Consider the following 24189-nt stretch of genomic DNA (forward strand, 5'->3'; position numbering starts at 1 on the left):
TTCATGTCTAAAACACCAAAAGCAATGGCAACAAAAGCCAAAATTGACAAATGGGATCTAATTAATCTAAAGAGCTTCTGCACAGCAATAGAAAATACCATCAGAGCGAACAGGCAACCTACAAAATGGGAGAAAATTTTCGTAACCTACTTATCTGACAAAGGGCTAATATCCAGAATCTACAATGAACTCAAACAAATTTACAAGAGAAAAACAAACAACCCCATCAAAAAGTGGGCAAAGGATAGGAACAGACACTTCTCAAAAGAAGACATTTAAGCAGCCAAAAGACACATGAAAAAATGCTCATCATCACTGGCCATCAGAGAAAAGCAAATCAAAACCACAGTGAGATACCATCTCACACCAGTTAGAATGACAATCATTAAAAAGTCAGGAAACAACAGGTGCTGGAGAGGATGTGGAGAAATAGGAACACTTTTACACTGTTGGTGGGACTGTAAACTAGTTCAACCATTGTGGAAGTCAGTGTGGCGTTTCCTCAGGGATCTAGAACTAGAAATACCATTTGACCCAGCCATCCCATTACTGGGTATATACCCAAAGGATTATAAATCTTGCTGCTATAAAGACACATGCACACGTATGTTTATTGCAGCACCATTCACAATAGCAAAGACTTGGAACCAACCCAAATGTCCAACAATGATAGACTGGATTAAGAAAATTTGGCACATATACACCACGGGAATACTATGCAGCCATAAAAAATGATGAGTTCATGTCCTTTGTAGGGACATGGATGAAATTGGAAATCATCATTCTCAGCAAACAATCTCAAGGACAAAAAACCAAACACCGCATGTTCTCACTCATAGATGGGAATTGAACAATGAGAACACATGGACACAGGAAGGGGAACATCACACTCTGGGGACTGTTGTGGGGTGGGGGGAGGGGGGAGGGATAGCATTAGGAGATATACCTAATGCTAAATGACGAGTTAATGGGTGCAGCACACCAGCATGGCACATGTATACATATGTAACAAGCCTGCACATTGTGCACATGTACCCTAAAACTTAAAGTATAATAAAAAAAGATCAATCCTTCTCAAACTCATCCAATAAACTGAAAAATTAAGAATACTTCCAAACTCATTTTACAAGGCCAGCATTACCCTAATTCCAAAGCCAGACGAGGACACTACAAGAAAATTATAGGCCCATATGCCTGATGAACATAGAAGCAAAAATCCTCAACAAAGTACTAGCAAATCAAATTTCATAGCACATTAATTTTTTGTGTGTTTTTCTGCTGTTTAATTAAAGGATTGCTCAGCATGACCTAGTGCCTATGGGATGTGCATTGAACTCAGTGCTGCCCTGTCACAGCAGAAAGCAAAACTGGTCAGAAGTCGGCTGATGCCTGCCCACAGAGGGAGCATTTAGACCAGCCCTAGCCAGAGGCGATTTATACACCGCAGAGGTCAGAACTTGGGTTATGGGAAGCCTCACCACTGCAGGATCTGGGTTTCTAAATAAACTTGAGAGGTGGTCTAGGATACAAGGACTGCAACTCATAGTGCTGTGCTGGGCTCAGAGTAAGAGAACGTAGGGAGCCCATGACCTAGTGAGACACCAGGCAAGGTGGCTGAGAGAATGCATGCACCACGGCTCCCCTAACCCCAGCAGCACAGCTCAGAGTTCCAGGAGAGACTCCTTCCTTCACTTGAGGAGAGGAGAGGGAAGCATAAAGAAGAATTTGTGTTGCATCTTGGACACCAACTTAGTCACAGTAGGATACAGCATTGGGCAGAGTCCTGAGGCCCCCATTTCAGGGTCTAGCTCATGGATGACATTTCTAGACACACCCTGGACCAGAAGGGAATCTGCTGCCTTGAAGGGAAGGACTCAGCCCTGACAGAATTCATCACCTGCTGACTAAAGAGCCCTTGGGCCCTGAGCAACCTGCAATGATACCCAGGTAGTTTACCACGGGCCCTGGGTGAAACTCTAAGACATGTTGGCTTCAGGGGAGACCCAGCACATTCCCAGCTGTGGTGACTATGGGCAGAGATAGTTTCTCTGGGAGAATAGCAGAGGCAAGAGTAAAGGGGAATTTGTCTTGCACCTTAGATGTCAGCTTGGCCACAGTAGGGCAGAGCAGCAAGTGAGCTCTTGGGGTCCCTGAGTTTAGGTCCTGGTTCTTGCATGGGACTTTTGGACCTCCCCTGGGCCAGAGGAGAGCCCACTGCCCTGAAGGGTGAGTCCCAGGCCTGGCAGCATTCACCACAGATGACTGAGGAACCCTTCAGTCTTAAGTGAACACAGGCAGTAGCCTGGCAATAGTCTCTGTGGGCCTGCAGTGGTGGTGGCCACAGCGAGAGGCTTCTCTGCCTGTGGAAAGGGTGGGGAAGAGTGGGAAGGACTTTGTCTTGTGGGTTGAGTGGCAGCTTAGCTGCAATAGTGTAGAGCACAAGGTAGATTTCTAAGGTTTTTAACTCTGGTCCCTGGCTCCCAGAGGGCATCTCTGGACCCACCTGGGATCTGGGGGAACTCGCCACCCTGAAGGGAAAGACACAGACCTGGCTGGCTTTGCCACCTGCTGATTGTAGAGTCTTAGGGCCTTGAGTGAACATAGGCAGTAGTCAGGTATTGGTTACAACTAGGTAATGGGTGAGACCCAGTGCAGTGCTGGGTTCAGGTCTTCAATCAAATGACATAGAGTAGCTGAATAATTATTTTAAAAAGACCCAATGATCTGTTTTCTATAAGAAGCACACATCAACCATAAAGACAAACATAAACTGAAAATAAAGGGAAGGAAAGAAATCTTCCATGCCAATGGAAACCACAAAAAGAGAACATGTAGCTATACTTATGTTAGATAAGATAGATTTCAAGACAAAGACTATAAGAAGAGATAAAGAAGGTCATTATATAATGATAGAGGTGTCAATTGAGCAAGAGAATACAACAATGGTAAATATATATGCACCCAACACTGGAGCACCCAGATATATAAAGCAAATATTACTAGAGCTAAAGAGAGGAATAGACCCCAATACAATAATAGCTGGAGACTTCAACATCCCACTTTCAGCATTAGAGAGATCTTCCAGACAGGAAATCAACAAAGAAACATCAGACTTAATCTGCACTATAGGGCAAGTGGATGTAATAGATATTTATAGAACATTTCATCTAATGGCTGCAGAAAACATATTATTTTCCTCAGCACATGGATCATTCTTAAGGATAGACCAGGTGAGGTCACAGTCTTAAAACATTCAAAAATTGAAATAATATCAGACATCTTCTCTGACCACAATGGAATAAAACTAGAGATAAATAACTACAGGCATTTTAGAAACTATACAAATACATGGAAATTAAACAGTATGCTCCTGAATGGCCAATGGGTCAGTGAAGAAATTAAGAAGGAAATTTAAAATTTCTTGAAATGAATGATGATGAAAATACAATATACCCAAACTATGGGATACAGCAAAAGCAGTACTAAGAGAGAAGTGTATATCTAAAAGCACCTACATCAAAAAGGAACAAAAATGTCAAGAAGAACTAATACTAATCCTACTCAAACTGTTCTGAAAAACAGCGGAAGAGGGGATACTTTCAAACTCATTCTACAAGGCCAGGATTGCTCTGATATCAAAAAAACAGACAAAGACACGTTAAAGAAATAAAAAAGAAAGCTGCAGGCCAATTTCTCTCATGAATATTGATGCAAAAATCTTCAGCAAAATACTAGAAACCAAATTCAACAATACATTGATAATTTGACTTCTTTCTAATTTGGATTCCTTTTTTTCATATATATATACATATTTACACATATATATATACATATTTATACTTTAAGTTCTGGGGTATATGTGCACAACATCCAGGTTTGTTACATAGGTATACATGTGCCATGTTGGTTTGCTGCACCCATCAACTCGTCATCTACATTAGGTATTTCTCCTAATGCTATCCCTTCCCCAAACCCCCACCCCCCCGACAGGCCCTGGTGTGTGACGTTCCCACCCTGAGTCTATGTGTTCTCATTGTTCAACTCCCACTTATGAGTGAGAGCATGTGGTGTTTGTTTTTCTGTCCTTGTGATAGTTTGCTTAGAATGATGGTTTCCAGCTTCATCCATGTCCCTGCAAAGGACATGAACTCATCCTTTTTTATGGCTGCATAGTATTCCATGGTGTATATGTGCCACATTTTCTTAATCCAGTCTATCATTAATGGACATTTGGGTTGGTTCCAAGTCCTTGCTATTGTGAATAGTGCAGCTGTAAACATACGTGTGCGTGTGTCTTTATAGTAGCATGATTTCTAATCCTTTGGGTATATGCCCAGTAATGGGATTGCTAGGTCAAATGGTATTTCTAGTTCTAGATCCTTGAGGAATCGCCACACTGTCTTCCACAATGGTTGAACTAATTTACACTCCCACTAACAGTGTAAAAGTGTTCCTATTTCTCCACATCCTCTCCAGCACCTGTTGTTTCCTGCCTTTTTAATGATCGCCATTCTAACTGGCATGAGATGTTATCTCATTGTGGTTTTCATTTGCGTTTCTCTGATGACCAGTGATGATGAGCAATTTTCCATGTGTCTGTTGGCTGCATAAATGTCTTCTTTTGAGAAGTGTCTGCTCATATCCTTTCCCTACTTTTTGATAGGGTTGTTTGTTTTTTTCTTGTAAATTTGCTTAATTTCTTTGTAGATTCTGGATATTAACCCTTTGTCAGATGGGTAGATTGCAAAGATTTTCTCCCATTCTGTAGGTTGCCTGTTCACTCTGATGATAGTTCCTTTTGCTGTGCAGAAGCTCTTTAGTTTAATTAGATCCCATTTGTCTATTTTGGCTTTTGTTGCCATTGCTTTTGGTGTTTTGGACATGAAGTCCTTGCCCATGCCTATGTGCTGAATGGTAATGCCTAGGTTTTCTTCTAGGGTTTTTATGGTTTTAGGTCTAACATATAAGTCTTTAATCCATCTTGAATTAATTTTTGTATAAGGTGTAAGGAAGGGATCCAGTTTCAGCTTTCTCCATATGGCTAGCCAGTTTTCCCAGCACCATTTATTAAACAGGGAATCCTTTCCCCATACCAGAGGTACAAAGAGGAGCTGGTACCATTCCTTCTGAAACCATTTCAATCAATAGAAAAGGAGGGAATCCTCTCTAACTCATTTTATGAGGCTAGCATCATTCTGATACCAAAGCCTGGTAGAGACACAACAAAAAAAAGAGAATTTTAGGCCAATATCCCTGATGAACATCTATGTGAAAATCCTCAATAAAATACTAGCAAACCGAATCCAGCAGCACATCAAAAAGCTTATCCACCATGATCAAGTCAGCTTCCTCTCTGGGATGCAAGGCTGGTTCAATGTACACAAAGCAATGAAGGTAATCCATCACATAAACAGAATCAAAGATAAAAACCACATGATTATCTCAATAGATGCAGAAAAGGCCTTAGACAAAATTCAACAGCCCTTCATGCTAAAAACTCTCAATAAACTAGGAATTGATGGAATGTATCTCAAAATAATAAGATTTATTTATGACAGACCCACAGCCAATATCGTACTGAATGGGCAAAAACTGGAAGCATTCCCTTTGAAAACTGGCACAAGACAAAGATGCCCTTTCTCACCACTTCTATTCAACATAGTGTTGGAAGTTCTGGCCAGGGAAATCAGGCAAGAGAAAGAAATAAAGGGTATTCAATTAGGAAAAGAGGAAGTCAAATTGTCTCTGTTTGCGGATGACATGATTGTATATTTAGAAAACCCCATCATCTCAGTCCAAAATCTCCTTAAGCTGATAAGCAACTTCAGCAAAGTCTCAGGATACAAAATCAGTGTGCAAAAATCAAGCATTCCTATACACCAATATAGACAAACAGAGAGCCAAATCATGAGTGAACTCCCATTCACAATTACTACAAAGAGAATAAAATACCTATGAATCCAACTTACAAGGGATGTGAAGGACCTCTTCAAGGAGAACTACAAACCAGTGCTCAATGAAATAAAAGAGGACACGAACAAATGGAAGAACACTCCATGCTCATGGATAGGAAGAATCAATATCGTGAAAATGGCCATACTGCCAAAAGTAATTTATAGCTTCAATGCTATCCCCATCAAGCTACCACTGACTTTCTTCACAGAATTGGAAAAAACTACCTTAACATTTGTATGGAACCAAAAAAGAGCCCACATAGCCAAGAAAATCCTAAGCAAAAAGAACAAAGCTGGAGGCATTATGCTACCTGGCTTCAAACTATACTACAAGGCTACAGTAACCAAAACAGCATGGTCCTGGTACCAAAACAGATATATAGACCAATGGAACAGAACAGAGGCCTCAGAAACAACACCACACATCTACAACCATCTGATCTTTGGATGCCTTCTATTTCTTTCTCTTGTCTGATTGCTCTAGGTAGGACTTCCAGTACCATGTTGAAAAAAAGGGGTGAATGTGGGCATCTTGTTATGTTCCAAATCTTAGAGGAAAGGTGTTCAGTCATCATCATGACCAAGTGGGATTTATCCCTGGGATCCAAGGACGGTTCAACATATGCAAATCAATCAATGCGAAACACTATATCAACAGAATGAAGGATAACAACCATATGATCATTTCAATTGATGCTGTAAAAAGCATTTGATAAAATTTGAAATTCCATTATGGTGAAAGCCCTCCCAAAACTGAGTATAGAAGGAACATACAGATCCCCAACTCTCCCTCACACCTCATTACCCTTTCCACCCTCTAGTGATTATCCTTCTACTTGTTTGCAGATGACATGATCATGTATTTGCAAAAACCTAAAGACTCCACCAATAAACTATTCGAACTGATGAACAAATTCACGTAAGTTGCGGGATACAAAATCAACACACATAAATCAATAGCATTTCTATATGCCAACAGTGAACAATCTGAAAAAGAAATCAAGAATGTAATTTCATCCACAACAGCTACAAATAAAAAAAAATACCTAAAGGATTTGCTATTTATTCCAGTCTCCTCTGTCTGGCTTGTTTGGATCTTTATGTTTGCTTAGAGATTCTGTGTAATTTACCTGTTGAATGTCTTATTTTTTTCTGCTAGGCCACTAGCAGCAAAATAAACACACCTTTACAGCATTAGATGGTGCCTTAAGCCCATCTGCTTTGTCTCAAGCAAATGAAGAGAGTGCTGCCCATCCAGAATGGGGGAGGTCCCAAAGATGGTATCTTGGCAGTGTAGAAAAGCTGGCTAAGGGTCCGAGTCCAGGAGGCCTGTGGAACATACCACCTACAGTGTGGCGCTGCTGAACAGCCACTCTGATTTGGCATCTCCTTTGGCTGAGTTACAGAGCAGAGTTTCCTGGGTTGAGGATGATAGTTCTGCCTCCCCGTTTTGTCTCTGACGGTCCTCAGGGACATTTCTCCCCTCAGGCACTCACGATGCTTCCCGTGGGTTGAGTCAGGAACAGGTCTCCTGCCAGGGAACCCAAGATGGTGCGGAAGCTGACCGTTCACCTCAATATCACTTCTTCCAGTGTAGAAACCATGACTCAAGGGAAATTTTCCGCACACGTGGTGCCAAGCAGATTCAGGGGGAGGGTGTTGCAGATATGGAAATCCAATTCTCTTTTTGTTTGCTTGGAGTGTTTTCACTTCTCTGTGGCCCTGGGAACTGACTCATCCTCATAATTGAGTTGAGGGATATTGCAGGTGATAATCTTGGCGTCGTATATTTGTTTTTGTTTTTCTGTGAGGTGGAGTGAAGCCAGCTTCCACTTATGCCACCATTTCGGAACCAGAAACCAAAACTTCTTTCATTGTGTTTTTTTAAGATACTATAATTTTTAAGTGCCATCATTTAAATTTCACTTAAATTAGGCAGATTGCATTATTCATTCCCGTAAGCATAGAAACATAGTAACACTAAAAGATATTGAACACATTTTACAGTTGTCTGGCTATATTATATAAATGTGGTAAGCAACTTTTGTAGAGATAGTACGTGTGTGATAATGTAATATTCTTTTCCAAGTTTGGGCTACAGTTGAATAAACTTTTTATTTTTATTTTTTATTTGAGATGAAGTCTCACTCTGTTGCCCAAGCTGGAGTGCAGTGGTGCGATCTCAGCTCACCCCAACCTCTGCTTCCTGGGTTCAAGTGATTCTTTTGCCTCAGTCTCCCAAGTAGCTGGGGTTACAGGCGCCTGCCACCACGGCCCCCTAATTTTTGTATTTTTAGTAGAGGCTAGGTTTCACCATCTTGGCCAGGCTGGTTTTGAACTCCTGACCTCAGGTGATCCACCCGCCTCAGCTTCCCAAAGTGCTGGGATTACAGGCGTGAGCCACCGAGCCCAGCCGAATAAACTTTTTAATTATTTAAAAACACATTTACTGAATAACATGATAGGTTTTTGTATAATGTATTTGGTTTTGTAAATATGTATTTCTTGATGTGATTTTTGTGAGAAACGCTAAATCTTTTATAAATCATATTCTCACAGAATTGCCATGAGCTAAATAATAGTTTGTGGGTGATTTGCATTGTACAACAACTGTGAGACTTTTAGAATTATAAAAATATTTATCAACTTTTAGTGTGTTGTTTAAACAAATTATTGGAACATACTAAAGATATGAGTAGGATTTTTCTGAGTATTTTGGACGTGTACTCAGGCTAGCTTTCCTGTTTTTTTCAAAACAAAATAGTGTCTTTCCTCTTAAAATCAGTAAATCTGTTTTCTTGTTACAAAGAAGTTTACAATTTTAACTATTGTTAAGCATACAGTTTAGTAGTATTAACTACATCCCCATTGCTGTACAACCGTCACCACTATCTATCTCTACAGGTTGTTTCATCTTCCCAATCAGAAACTATGTACCCATGAAATAACCCCGCATTTTCTCTTCCCCCACTCAGATGCTGGAACACAGCATTCTACTTTCTGTTGATATGAATTTGATTACTCTAGGTACCTCATATAAATGGAATCACACAGTATTTTTTAATAATTTTTGCCTTTTGATCCATCCTATTCTCTGCAACCTCGTTGAATTTGTGTATTAACTTGTTCATTAGCTTTAGTAATGGTTTTGAAGATTCTTTCAGGTTTTCTATGTATAGAATTGTGTCATCTGTGCATAGAGATAATTTTACATCTCCCTTACTAGTTTGAACGCACTTTGGTATTTTTTCTTGCCTAATTTCTCTGCATAGAACTTTTTTGATTGTGGTAAAAAGTAACATAAAACATACCATCATAATCATTTTTAAGTATACAGTACAGTAGTGTTACCTACGTGAATGTTATTGTGCAACTGATCTCTAGAACATTTTCATCCTGCAAAACTGATTTATACCCACTGAACAACAACTCCCCTTTCCCCTGCCCTCCACAGCCCCTGGCAATCACCCTTTTACTTTTTGTTTCTAAGAGTTTGACTTTTAAAAGTACCTCATATAAGTATAATCATGTAATGTTTTTCTTTTTGTGACTGGCTTATTTCACTTAGCATAATGTCCTGAAGATTCATTCATGTTGTATCATATGACAGGATTTCCTTTTTTAAAGGCCAAATAATAGTTCATTGGATGTATATGCCACCTTGTAAAAATCCATGCATCCATTCATGGAGAGTCAGGTTGTTTCTACCTCCTGGCTATTGTGAATAATACTGCCATGAATATGGGTGTGCAAATACGTATTCAAGATCCTTTTTCAGGTCTTCTGGATATATACCCAGAAGTCGGATTGATGGATCATATTGAAGTAATTCTATTTTTAAATTTTGGAGAAATTCCCATACTGTTTTTAATAATGGGTGCACCATCCCCAGTAGTGTACAAGGATTCCAGTTTCTGGGGTTTTTTTTTTTCTTAATAGTGGCCATCCCAACAAGCATGAGGTGATATTGTGGTTCTCATTTGTATTTCCCTGATGATTAGTATCTTAGTCAATTCAGGCTGCTATAACAAAGTACCATAGACTGGATGGCTTAAAGAACAAATGTTTATTTCCCACAGTTCTGCAGACTGGGAAGTTCAAGGTAAAGGTGCTGGCAGATTCAGTGTCTGGTGACGGCCCTCTTCATGATGCATGAGAAGCACCGGGCTCACAGAGGAGCTGCAAGCCTCTGTTCCACACAAAGAGCTAGAACCTGATAGAAACATGGGCAGGGAGGCTCACAGTCAAGAAGCAGGGGTTTTAGGTTTGTTTCTGCTAGTGCTGTGAAAAACACCATTGTCGATTTCCTAGGGACTCACTGCATTGAACGTGTAACGGCTTTGTGTAGCACCTACGTGTTAACCGTCTTCCCGTCCATGAACACGGGATGTGTCTGCATTTATTGGTCTTCTGCGTGTTTCATCAGTGTTTGATTGGTTTCAGTGTGCACACCTTTCACCTCCCTGAATAAACGTATTCCAAGGGTTTTATTCTTGTCCTGGTATTCTAAATATGTTGGTTTCCCGGGTGTCTTTTTCGCATAGTTTGTTGTTCGGGCATAGAAAAGCGAGTGATTTTCACATGTTGCTTTTCACTCTGTAACTTTGCTGAGTTTGTTTATTGGTTTTGACCATTTTTTGGTGCAGTGTATATCAGGGTTTTCTCTAGGTGAGATCATGTCATCTGCAAGCCGAGAAAATTGAGCTTCTTAGTTTCCAATTTGAATCCTTTTTATTTCTTTTCTTAAAATAGGTGATCAAATCGGCACGTGGCTGTGCCCACGAGGGTTGTTTGGCATGTGGGTGTGCTGGTTTGGCAGGCCAGAAATTTTTATTTCTAAGAGTTTATCCCACTCCACACCCTTCTAGGTTTTAGAATTGAAAAAATACCTCTTGTTTAAGGTAGATCCCAGCCCTGCTTTTACGCGTTGGATCCTTCGCGGATCCTTCACCACTGCCTTCACTATGTGAATCAGCCCTTTCTCCCTCAAGGGAGAGCATCTCCGATTAATTTGATTCCCAAGTGGGGGCATACATGGGCACCAGCCCATATGCGTGCGTGCATGCGTGCACGCACACGCACGCGCACACATGCACACACACGGGACACACAACCACGTGTCGATTTGGTCATGTGTTGTAAGAAAAAGAAATAAAAGGCGCCAAACTAGACAGTAAGAAGCTCAATTATCTCTGCTTGCTGATGGCATGAAGTCACATAGAGAAAACCCTGATGTGCACTGCACCAAAAAACGATCAAAACCAATAGACAAAGTCAGCAAAGTTGCGGAATGGAAAAGCAACATGCGAAAATCTCTCGCTTTTCTATGCCTGAACAACAAACTATCCCAAAAAGACACCCGGGAAACCAACATATTTAGAATATCAGGCCAAGAATAAAACCCTTGGAATACGTTTATTCAGGGAGGTGAAAGGTGTGCACACTGAAACCGATCAAACACTGATGAAACAGGCAGAAGACCAAAAAATAGAGACACATCCTGTGTTCACGGACGGGAAGACGGTTAACACATAGGTGCTACCCAAAGCTGTTACACATTCAATGCAGTGAGTCCCTAGGAAATCGACAATGGTGTTTTTCACAGCACTAGCAGAAACAAACCTAAAACCCCTGCTTCTTGACTGTGAGCCTCCCTGTGAGCCTTGACTGTGAGCTACCCAAAGCTGTTACAGGTAAAACGCAGTGAGTCATGCCACCGCCCAGCATCCAGGGACAACTGTCCCTAGAAGGCATCACTGCCAAAGGGTCCGCTGACATTGGGGCAGACCTGGAGGTCGGTCCCAGTGGGAGAGGTGTGCTGGGCCCCAGCCCGGGGAAATGGCAGCGGAGGAACTTCGTCGGCCCTCTCCACCTCACTGGTCCTGGGACAGGCCCAGCCTGAGAGAACCCGGAAAGGGGCTTGAAGAGGAGACGCAGCATCTGCGTGGATCCCCAGCAGCCCTCCGAGGAAGGGCCCGCAGGGCTGTCTACCCAAGACTCTGATTCCGGAGATGAGTGCAGCGACTTACCGTTGATCAGGGTGATCATTTTCACCAAAGAAGGAATCCAGGCCAAGCCCGGAAGCCCCAAGAAGCCAGCAGACACTTGCAGACGCCCCAGTTTCCACCGCAGGGAGAGTTACCTTCAGGTTCAGGGACCTCTCCTGACCTCTCCTCCCCGCAGACTCACCCCAGCCATGGAGAGGCCGGCCGTGGGAGAGCTGGACACGTCTTCCTTGAAGAAAATGCAGAGCATGGTGTGGGGAAAGAGGGGGGTCAGGCCCAGTTGCTCAGGAGTTGCCATTAGAGGGCCCCTACCCCGGGGCATTCTGGGAAGGAAGGTGGCCCAGGAGAAGAAATCCCTAGAGGGTGCACCAGAACTGGCCCTGCGGGGAGCCTTTCCTGCCTGGGGGCAGAGACTCTCAGCAGTTCCACCTGATCCGGCCAGCTTCCCACCAGTGTCCAGTGTGGGGCTCCTGGGGAAGTCTGCGAGACCCAAGGAGCCCAAGCACAGCAGCCCTGGGAAGAAACCAGCAGGAAGGAAGACCAGGGAGTCCCAGGCTGCGGCCAGAGAAGATAATGATCCAAATAGAGATGAGGTCCCAAGGGCCCAAGTGAGTAGATTCTCTTCGCACACTCCTCCTTCTCCTCCTTGCTCTCCTCCTACTCTTTCTCCTCTGTCTCCCCCCACCCACCTCTCCTCCAGCACCCACCCATGCCCTCTCTATCCCTTGCTCACAGGTTGTCATCGGGAGCCCAGGGACACTAGGATGACCGATTGGGGTTCTCCTCATAGGGGCACACATTAAAGGGAGCACTTGGTGTGTGCCAGGACCGGCTCTGGACACTCTGCAGTTGTCCAGGCTCTGCCCCCAGAGAGGAGCTGGGATGGAAGACAGGGGTGGCAGCTGGTTTGGATCAGGGGACTCCTTAATGTGTGGGGCACAAAGCTTGGGCGTCCAGACTCATCAACTTCCCAATTCCTCCTTCCCTAGCTATTACGCAAGCTCTCCTGTCTTGGAGCTGACTGAGGGAGAAAGTGCTAATGAGATTAGTCTGGAGTCTCCACCTTAACACAACCCCTCCTCACTTGTACTTACTGCCAGCCTCCACTGCCAGCCCAACTCAGAACTTTCTGTTTTAGTTTCCCAAAGAGAAGCCCCAGCTGATTTCCCTGTCCGTGAGTTGTGGAGAATGCAGCAGTGGCGACTCCACCATCAGAACTCCCCAAGTTCCAGGAACCTCACAGCCCTTAGCATTGAGCCTGAGACGCCTTGTGTCCTGACACCGTGCATTCTCCAGTGAGTCTTGCGGGTTTGATAGGCTTGGCGGGGAGAGAGGACGGGAGTGAAACCTCTGGCTCTGTCGCTTCTGGAAGCTCAGCCTTGTTCCCGGACTTCCCTGCCCACCCAGGCAGCTGTCCCAAGGGAAATGCAGGGTTCACAGGGCTAGCCTGAAGGCACATCGCCCTCTCTGAGTGGGATTTGTGCAGTGGGGGGTGATTTGGAGCCCCACCCCAAACTCCAGCTCTGGAAAGAGACTTTCAGCAGTACTGAGCCCTTTTCTGTTAAGTCCTGCTCAGCCACACTGCTCCTCCCAGGGCCTGCCTGTGGCTGCCCCGCTGTTGGCATCCTACCCAGAGCCACAATGCTAGTGGGCCACAGGTACAGATGGACTCACACTGGGGAACAGGGAAGACAGTCCCAGAGGGAGGGTTGGAGCTGCTGGGCAGAGCAGGGGCAATGTGTTGCAAGCACAGGGTAATGCTGCCTCACATTGGACCCTGCTAGGCCCTTTCCACCTCACTCAGAGGCTTAGAAGCTGGATTTTGTGTTTTCTTTCAGGTGACCAGCAGCTGCCTGTCCATCCCCCAAGATTGGAAAGGCAGCAGCAGCCCCCAGGAGCCCAGGGCTGTCCTCAGGTAATGCTTTGTGTGGATCATAGTAATCCGGGTCCACACTAGATGGTGGGATCCATGTCCAGTTTAACTGATTTCTGCGTCTCTCCCACCTCCAACTTCCGTACCCCATGGAGAGTGGATGCCTCCTTTCCATTGAGGGCTCTGTGCCAACCCACCTCACCACTGGGCTGCAGACCATGGGGGCTGTAAGGTCTGGGAGAGACAGGGAGGATGGTGAGAGAGCAGGCCAGAAGGGACTAACCATTTCTCTTCCTCCAGTGTCTGCTGGTCTAGTGCATCCTGCTGCAGAGGAAAACTGAGGACCTGAGGGGAGGTTCCAAGATGGCCGAATAGGAACAGCTCCAGTCTACAGCTCCCAGCATGAGTGATGCAGAAGACGGGTGATTTCTGCATTTCCAACTGAGGTACCGGGTTCATCTCACTGGGGCTTGTCAGACACTGGGTGCAGCCCATGGAGCAGGGCGGGGCATCACCTCACCCGGGAAGCACAAGGGGTCGGGGAATTCCCTTTCCTAGCCAAGGGAAGCCATGACAGATGGTACCTGGAAAATCAGGACACTCCCACCCTAATACTGCGCTTTTCCAACAGTCTTAGCAAACAGCACACCAGGAGATTATATTCCACGCCTGGCTCAGAGGGTCCCATGCCCACAGAGCCTCGCTCACTGCTAGCACAGCAGTCTGAGATGGAACTGTAGGGGGCTGGGAGATAGGCATCCGCCATTGCTGAGGCTTGAGTAGGTAAACAAAGCAGCTGGGAAGTTCGAACTGGGTGGAGCCCACCACAGCTCAAGGAAGCCTGCCTGCCTTTGTAGACTCCACCTCTGGGGGCATGGCATAGCTGAACAAAAGGCAGCAGAAACTTCTGCAAACTTAAAAGTCCCTGTCTGACAGCTTTGAAGGAGTAGTGGTTCTCCCAGCAGGGAGTTTGAGATCTGAGAACGGACAGACTGCCTCTTCAAGTGGGTCCCTGACCCCCGAGTAGCCTAACTGGGAGACACCTCCCAGTAGGGGCCGACTGACAACTCAGACAGCCAGGTGCCCCTCTAAGAAGAAGCTTCTAGAGGAAGGATCAGGCAGCAACATTTGCTGTTCTGCAGCCTCTGCTGGTGATACCCAGGCAAACAGGGTCTGGAGTGGACCTCCAGCAAACTCCAACAGACCTGCAGCTGAGGGTCCTGTCTGTTAGAAGGAAAACTAACAAACAGAAAGGACATCTACACCAAAACCCCATCTGTACGTCACTGTCATCAAAGACCAAAGGTAGATAAAACCACAAAGATGGGGAGAAACCAGGGCAGAAAAGCTGAAAATTCTAAAAATCAGAGCGCCTCTTCTCCTCCAAAGGAATGCAGCTCCTCACCAGCAATGGAACAAAGCTGGATGGAGAATGACTTTGAAGAGTTGAGAGAAGAAGGCTTCAGATGATCGGTAATAACAAACTTCTCTGAGCTAAAGGAGGATGTTCGAACCCATCACAAAGAAGCTAAAAACCTTGAAAAAAGATTAGACAAATGGCTAACTAGAATAAACAGTGTAGAGAAGTCCTTAAATGACCTGATGGAGCTGAAAACCATGGCACGGGAACTATGTGACGCACGCACAAGTTTCAGCAGCTGATTTGATCAAGTGGAAGAAAAGGTATCAGTGATTGAAGACAAAATGAATGAAATGAAGCGAGAAGAGAAGTTTAGAGAAAAAAGAGTAAAAAGAAATGAACAAAGCCTCCAAGAAATATGGGACTACGTGAAAAGACCAAATCTCCATCTGATTATTGGACCTCAAAGTGATGGGGAGAATGGAACCCAGTTGGAAAACACTCTTCAGGATATTATCCAGGAGAACTTCCCCAACCTAGCAAGGCAGGCCAACATTCAAATTCAGGAAATACAGGGAATGCCACAAAGATACTCCTTGAGAAGAGCAACCCCAAGACACATAATTGTCAGATTCACCAAAGTTGAAATGAAGGAAAAAATGTTAAGGGCAGCCAGAGAGAAAGGTCGGGTTACCCACAAAAGGAAGCCCATCAGACTAATAGCAGATCTCTCGGCAGAAACTCTACAAGCCAGAAGAGAGTGGGGGCCAATATTCAAAGAAAAGAATTTTCAATCCAGAATTTCATATCCAGCCAAACTAAGCTTCATAAGTGAAGGAGAAATAAAATCCTTTACAGACAAACAAATGCCGAGAGATTTTGTCACCACCAGGCCGGCCTTACAAGAGCTCCTGAAGGAAGCAATAAACATGGAAAGGAACATCCGGTACCAGCCATTGCAAAAACATGCCAAATTGTAAAGACCATCGATGCTAGAAAGAAAGTGCATCAACTAATGAGCAAAATAACCAGCTAACATCATAATGACAGGATCAAATTCACACATAACCATATTAACCTTAAATGTAAATGGGCTAAATGCTCCAATTAAAAGACACAGACTGGCAAATTGGATAAAGAGTCAAGACCCATCAGTGTGCTGTATTCAGGAGACCCATCTCTCATGCAGAGACACACATAGGCCCAAAATTAATGGATGGAGGAAGATCTACATAGCAAATGGAGAACAAAACAAAACAAAAAAGCAGGGGTTGCAATCCTAGTCTCTGATAAAACACACCTTAAACCAACAAGGATCAAAAGAGACAAAGAAGGCCATTGCATAATTGCATAATTGCATAATTCAACAAGAAGAGCTAACTATCCTAAATATATGTGCACCCAATACAGGAGCATCCAGATTCATAAAGCAAGCCCTTAGAGACCTACAAAGAGACTTAGACTCCCACATAATGATAATGGGAGACTTTAACACCCTACCGTCAACATTAGACAGATCAACGAGACAGAAAGTTAACAAGGATACCCAGGAATTGAACTCAGCTCTGCACCAAGCGGACCTAATAGACATCTACAGAACCCTCCACCCCAAATCAACAGAATATACATTCTTCTCAGCACCACACCACACTTATTCCAAAATTGACTACATAGTTGGAAGTAAAGCACTCCTCAGCAAATGTAAAAGAACAGAAATTATAACAAACTGTCTCTCAAACCACAGTGCAATCAAACTAGAACTCAGGATTAAGAAACTCACTCAAAACTGCTCAACTACATGGAAACTGAACAAACTGCTCCTGAATGACTACTGGATACATAATGAAATTAAGGCAGAAATAAAGATGTTCTTTGAAACCAACGAGAACAAGACAACATACCAGAATCTCTGGGACACATTCAAAGCAGTGTGTAGAGGGAAATTTACAGCACTAAATACCCACAGGAGAAAGCAGGAAAGATCTAAAATTGGCACCCTAACATCACAATTAAAAGAACTAGAGAAGCAAGAGCAAACACATTCAAAAGCTAGCAGAAGGCAAGAAATAAGATCAGAGCAGAACTGAAGGGGATAGAGACACAAAAAACCCTTCAAAAAATCAATGAATCCAGGAACTGGTTTTTTGAAAAGATCAACAAAATTGATAGACCGCTAGCAAGACTAATAAAGAAGAAAAGAGAGAAGAATCAAATAGACTCAATAAAAAATGATAAAGAGGATATCACCACTGATCCCACAGAAATACAAACTACCATCAGAGAATACTATAGACACCTCTACAAAATAAACTAGAAAATCTACAAGAAATGGATAAATTCCTGGACACATACATCCTCCGAAGACTACACCAGGAAGAAGTTGAACCTCTGAATAGACCAATAACAGGCTCTGAAATTGAGGCAATAATTAATAGCCTACCAACCAAAAAAAGTCTAGGACCAGACGGATTCACAGCCGAATTATACCAGAGGTACAGAGAGGAGCTGGTACCATTCCTTCTGAAACTTCCAATCAATAGAAAAATAGGGAATCCTCCCTAACTCATTTTATGAGGCCAGCATCATCCTGATACCAAAGCCTGTTCTCAGAGACACAACAAAAAAAGAGAATTTTAGACCAATATCCCTGATGAACATTGATGCAAAAATCCTCAATAAAATACTGGCAACCTGAATCCAGCAGTACATCAAAAAGCTTATCCACCACAATCAAGTTGGCTTCATCCCTGGGATGCAAGGCTGGTTCAACATTCCAAGTCAATAAACATAATCCATCATATAAACAGAATCAAAGACAAAAACCACATGATTATCTCAATAGATGCAGAAAAGTTCTTCAACAAAATTCAACACCCCTTCATGCTAAAAAATCTCAATAAACTAGGTATTGATGGGATGTATCTCAAAATAATAAGATTCATTATTTTATTTATAAAATAAATAAAATATTTATTTTATTTATGACAAACCCACAGCCAATATCATACTGAATGGGCAAAAACTGGAAGCTTTCCTTCAAAAACTGGCACAAGACAGGGATGCCCTCTCTCACCACTCCTATTCAACATAGTGTTGGAAGTTCTGGCCAGGGCAATTGGGCAGGAGAAAGAAATAAAGGGTATTCAATTAAGAAAAGAGGAAGTCAAATTGTCCCTGTTTGCAGATGACCTGATTGTATATTTAGAAAACCCCATCATCTGTGCCTAAAATCTCCTTAAGCTGATAAGCAACTTCAGCAAAGTCTCAGGATACAAAATCAATGTGCAAAAATCACAAGCATTCCTATACACCAAGAACACACAGAGAGCCAAATCATGAGTGAACTCCCATTCACAATTACTACAAAGAGAATAAAATACCTAGGAATTTGACTTACAAGGGATGTGAAGGACCGCTTTAAGGAAAACTACAAACCACTACTAATGAAATAAAAGAGGACACAAACAAATTGAAAAACATTCCATGCTCATGGATAGGAAGAATCAATATCATGAAAATGGCCATACTCCCCAAGGTAATTTGCAGATTCAATGCCATCCCCATCAATCTACCAATGAGTTTTTTCACAGAATTGGAAAAAAACTACTTTAAAGTTCATATGGAACCAAAAAAGAGCCTGCATTGCCAAGACAATCCTAAGCCAGAAGAACAAAGCTGGAGGCATCACGCTATCTGAGTTCAAACTATACTAAAAGGCTACAGTAACCAAAACAGCATGGAACTGCTACCAAAATAGAGATATAGACCAATTGAACAGAACAGAGCCCTCAGAAATAACACTGCACATCTACAACCATCTGATCTTTGGCAAACCTGACAAAAACAAGAAATGGGGAAAGGATTCCCTATTTAGTAAATGGTGCTGGGAAAACTGGCTAGCCATATGGAGAAAGCTGAAACTGGATCCCTTCCTTACACCTTATACAAAAATTAACTCAAGATGGATTAAAGACTTAAATGTTAGACCTAAAACCATAAAAACCCTAGAAGAAAACCTAGGCAATACCATTCAGGACATAGGCATGGGCAAGCACTTCATGACTAAAACACCAAAAGCAATGGCAACAGAAGCCAAAATTGATAAATGGGATCTAATTAAACTAAAGAGCTTCTGCACAGCAAAAGAAACTACCATCAGAGTGAACAGGCAACCTACAGAATGGGAGAAAAGTTTTACAATCTACCCATCTGACAAAGGGCTAATATCCAGAATCTACGAAGAACTCAAACAAATTTACAAGAAAAAATGAAACAACCCCATCAAAAAGTGGGGAAAGGATATGAACAGACACTTCTCAAAAGAAGACATTTATGCAACCAAAAGAAACATGAAAAAATGCTCATCATCACTGGCCATCAGGAAAATGCAAATCAACACCACAATGAGATAACATCTCACACCAGTTAGAATGGCAATCATTAAAAACTCAGGAAACAACAGGTGCTGGAGAGGATGTGGAGAAATAGGAACACTTTTACACTGTTGGTGGGACTGTAAACTAGTTCAACCATTGTGGAAGATGGTGTGGCAACCCCTCAAGGATCTAGAACTAGAAATACCATTTGACCCAGTGATCCCTTTACTGGGTATATATCCAAAGGATTATAAATCATGCTGCTATAAAGACACATGCACACGTTGTTTATTGTGGCACTATTCACAATAGCAAAGACTTGGAACCAACCCAAATGTCCATCAATGATAGACTGGATTAAGAAAACGTGGCACATATACACCATGGAATACTATGCAGCCATAAAAAAGGATGAGTTCATGTCCTTTGTAGGGACATGGATGAAGCTGGAAACCATCATTCTGAGCAAACTATGGCAAGGACAGAAAACCAAACTCCACATGTTCTCACTCGTAGGTGGGAATTGAACAATGAGAACACTTGGACACAGGGTGGGGAACATCACACACTGGGGCCTGTCGTGGTGTCAGGGAGGGGGGAAGGATAGCATTAGGAGATATACCTAATGTAAATGATGAGTTAACGGGTGCAGCACGCCAACATGGCACATGTATACATATGTAACAAACCTGCACGTTGTGCACATGTACCCTAGAACTTAAAGTATAATAATAATAAAAAAAAAAAACTGAGGACCTTAGAGACCAACTAGGTATAATGGAACCATGGCTGGGGCAGGGATTGACAGCACTGTCTTACTGCAGGTGCCAGGGCAAGGGTGGGCTGCAGGTGCAGGCAACGTCACTGGGATTGACTCCTCTGGGGAAGAGAACCAAGGAAAGCCTGGCCCTGGAGCCTTCTGTGCCTTTCCAGCTAGGGGTGTGCACAGACAGCAATGTGTCGTCTGAACTCCATGTACACTTTGTCCACGAGTCCCAGAGATCTCCTTCGCTTAGGACGGTTAGAGACACTGTGTGTGTTTTCCTTTAACTGCTGCCTGATATGGCTTGTACGATGTTTGCTTGCTGGCTGACTTATCTGTCTTTGAAACATGTTCTGAACGGTTCTGGGATGGCCCAACACCTGAGAACCACTTTCCCACTTACAAGGCATTTCCACATTTAATTCAGGTGACGGGTGGATGAGTCAGTCCCAGGGCTGGTGGGGTTTCGGGTTGCAAGGCTAGGTGGTTCCCCACTGGGGCAGGGGGTGGGTTTCTGTTTCCCTGGGTCTGGAGTGCCCATTTCTGCCTCTCTCTTTCAGCGGCCATGCAGTTCCTCACTGACAAGTTCCAGGACCTTTGAAGTGAGTGTTGCACACATTATGCACCTTCCCACAATCCCGGTAGCTTAAGAGGGCTGTGGGCTGGCCCTGGTTGGGGGCCCGTCCCTGAGCTGCTCTGTTTCACAGGTTGGAGCCAGCATCTTCCTACAAGATGAGCAGCTGGTACCTTTGGAGCTCCGGAGCTGCAGCCAAACGGGTTCCTTCCGTATCCTCTTCAGCCAGGGCTTCCGCTCTTCTGCTGCATTTGCCCCCTTCCCAAAGCAGTTTCCAATAAAGTCGTTCTCATATTCTGTGGTATGTGGTCTGCCCTGTGATTGTTGGGAGTGTTGGGGGGTGCAGGGTGTTGCTGTGTTCCCTGGCCCTTGAAGAGCAGTTACCCTAGTGCTGAGTGGTGAGCCCACTCCCTGGGGGTCGCCTGAGCCGGCCTCTGAGCAACAGCCCTGCACTCAGGCTCACCATAGTGCCCTGGGCCTAGGTGCTTTGGTGGCCCTGCCTGGCCACAGCAGCATTTCTTGCCTTTCCCCGGCACACCTTGCTCATGGTCCATCCTCTTTTCCTCCTACTTTGGGGTCTCACAGGTCCCCTTCAGCACTATTCTCGCTCTCCTTCAGCAGGAACTGATGGCCTCCTTCCAGAACCCCGCTCTCTCTCACCTTTCCTCCTGCAATTCACTGTCATGGTTCTGCCCTGTCACTGTCCTTTCCATCACGAACATCCTTGCTTTCCCCCGTGGCTTGACGCCGGAGTCCTTACCTGCATGGTTGCTTCTGTGCTGTTGAGCATGACAGAGCTCATCCTACCCCTCGGGAGCTCAGTCCTCTTTCTGGAGCCATTATGTCCCTCTGGTGCCACCATGCACACGGTCAGGTCATCTGGGCCAGAAAGCCACATGGCGTCCTCAGTTTCACTCTTACCCCCCACCTTTGAACCTCAGTTACCAAATCCTGTTAGGTGTCTCTCCTTTGTTTCAGTAGCCAGCTGGAGACAGAAGCCACATCCCGGTGGGTGGCTGAGCAAAAGGAAAGGCACAGGGAGCACAGACAAAAAGGGCGGGTTGGAGGTGGGGGCACTGAGTCTGTTCTGGTGCCTGCAGGCCAACCTGGTGGAAACTGCCCACCTGAAGCTACACAGAAGGCGGCTTCCACATCCTTGGTATCCTGTAGACGGCCAACAGCCCCTTCTGCAGCCGGTGGTCTCTACACCCTTGATTTGAAAATGGCCAGCTGCTTTCCAGGGCAAGTGTGGATGCTAGGGCTGGCTGTTCTTGGATGGTACCTGTCAAATACTGTTCCACCATTCCCAAAGCCGCAGGTTTTTGTAGATGTAATATTTCTGTGTGCCTGCTCAGTCTTTCAGATCGCCTCTCGCAGTCACATGAGATTTCCTCAAGCTCCCTGTTCAGCCTTCACCCTCCCTGACGGTTGGGATCACCTCCTTCCTTCAGCTGGAACCCCGGGCTGGATGAGCATGAGATTCGGACATAGATTCTGGTTCCAGTGAGGAGGTGTGTGTAGTTTTTGCCAGCTCCCATCTCCAAGAGACTGGGTGTTGAACAGACAAAGACAGGAGAAATGCAGATGACATTCAAGATTAGCGTGTGTGCAGAGACGTATGTGGTGGGTTTTTTGGGTTTTTTTTTGTTTGCTTTTTTGAGATGGAATCTCACTCTGTCACCCAGGCTGCAGTGCAGTGGCACAATCTTGGCTCACGGCAACCTCTACCTGCCAGGTTCAATCAATTCTCCTGCATCAGCTTTCCAAGTAGCTGGGGACTACAGGCATGCACCACCATGCCTGGGTAATTTTTTTTTTTTTTTTGGTGGATATGCGGGTTTCACCATGTTGGCCAGGCTGGTCTCAAACTCCTGACCTCAAGTGACCTGCCTGCCTCAGCCTCCCAGAATGCTGGGATTAGAGGTGTGAGCCACCATGCTGGGCCCTGTGTTTCTCTTGTGTGTGTGTGCACTCGTGCACACGCGCGTGCCTATGCACACACCTGCTTGGGAGTCAAATTAATCAGGAATGCTCTCCTTTGAGGGAGAAAGGGCTGATTCACAGAGTGGAGGCAGTGGTGAAGGATTTGTGAAGGCGTGAATGCACAAAAGCAGGGATGGTATCTACCTTAAACAAGTGGTATTTTTCAATTCTAAAACCTAGGAGGGCATGGAGTGGGACAAACTCTTAGAAATAAAAACTCTGGCCTGCCAAACCACCACACCCACATGCCAATCAACCCTCTTGGGCAGAGCCATGTGCCGATTTGATCACCTATTCTAAGAAAAAGAAATAAAAGGCAAACAAATTGGAAACTAAGAAGCTCAATTTTCTCTGCTTGCGGACGACATGATCTCACATAGAGAAAACCCTGATGTACACTGCACCAAAAAAATGGTCAAAACCAATAAACAAAGTCAGCAAGTTACAGAGTACAAAAGCAACATGTGAAAATCATTTGCATTTCCATACCTGAACCAGAAACTATCTGAAAAGACACCTGGGAAACCAACATATTTAGAATACCAGGACAAGAACAAAACACTTCGGAATACATTTATCCAGGGAGGTGAAATGTGTGCACACTGAAACCGATCAAACACTGTTGAAACATGCAGAAGACCAATAAATGGAGACACATCCCGTGTTCATGGATGGGAACATGGTTAACACATAGGTGCTACACAAAGCCGTTACACGTTCAATGCAGTGAGTCCCTAGGAAATCGACAATGGTGTTTTTCACAGCACTAGCAGAAACAAACCTAAAACCCCTGCTTCTTGACTGTGAGCCTCCCTGCCCATGTTTCTATCAGGTTCTAGCTCTTTGTGTGGAACAGAGGCTTGCAGCTCCTCTGTGAGCCCGGTGCTTCTCATGCATCATGAAGAGGGCCGTCACCAGACACTGAATCTGCCAGCACCTTTACCTTGAACTTCCCAGTCTGCAGAACTGTGGGAAATAAACATTTGTTCTTTAAGCCATCCAGTCTATGGTACTTTGTTATAGCAGCCTGAATTGACTAAGATACTAATCATCAGGGAAATACAAATGAGAACAACAACATCACCTCATGCCTGTTGGGATAGCCACTATTAAGAAAAAAAAAAAAAAAACCCAGAAGCTGGAACCCCCGTACACTAGTGGGGATGTGAAATGGTGCACCCACTATTAAAAACAGTAAGATAATTTCTCCAAAATTTAAAAATTGAATTACCTAAATAAGATCCATCAATCTGACTTCTGGGTATATATCAAGAATACCTGAGAAAGGATCTTGAATACGT

General features: G+C 44.1%; 1 pseudogene across 1 annotated transcript; it reads left to right on the forward strand.

Moving 5' to 3' along the window:
- Positions 1 to 11664: 11664 nt before the first annotated feature.
- Positions 11665 to 21202, forward strand: LOC101060274 (uncharacterized protein CXorf49-like; annotated as a pseudogene). Its single transcript, XR_007068264.1, has 7 exons — positions 11665 to 12567; positions 13098 to 13254; positions 13798 to 13874; positions 14148 to 14187; positions 20332 to 20340; positions 20892 to 20933; positions 21039 to 21202. The product of XR_007068264.1 is annotated as an uncharacterized protein CXorf49-like (transcript).
- The last annotated feature ends 2987 nt before the right edge of the window (positions 21203 to 24189 follow it).

Source organism: Homo sapiens, chromosome X (genome assembly GCF_000001405.40).
Source record: "Homo sapiens chromosome X, GRCh38.p14 Primary Assembly".
NCBI lineage: Eukaryota > Metazoa > Chordata > Mammalia > Primates > Hominidae > Homo > Homo sapiens.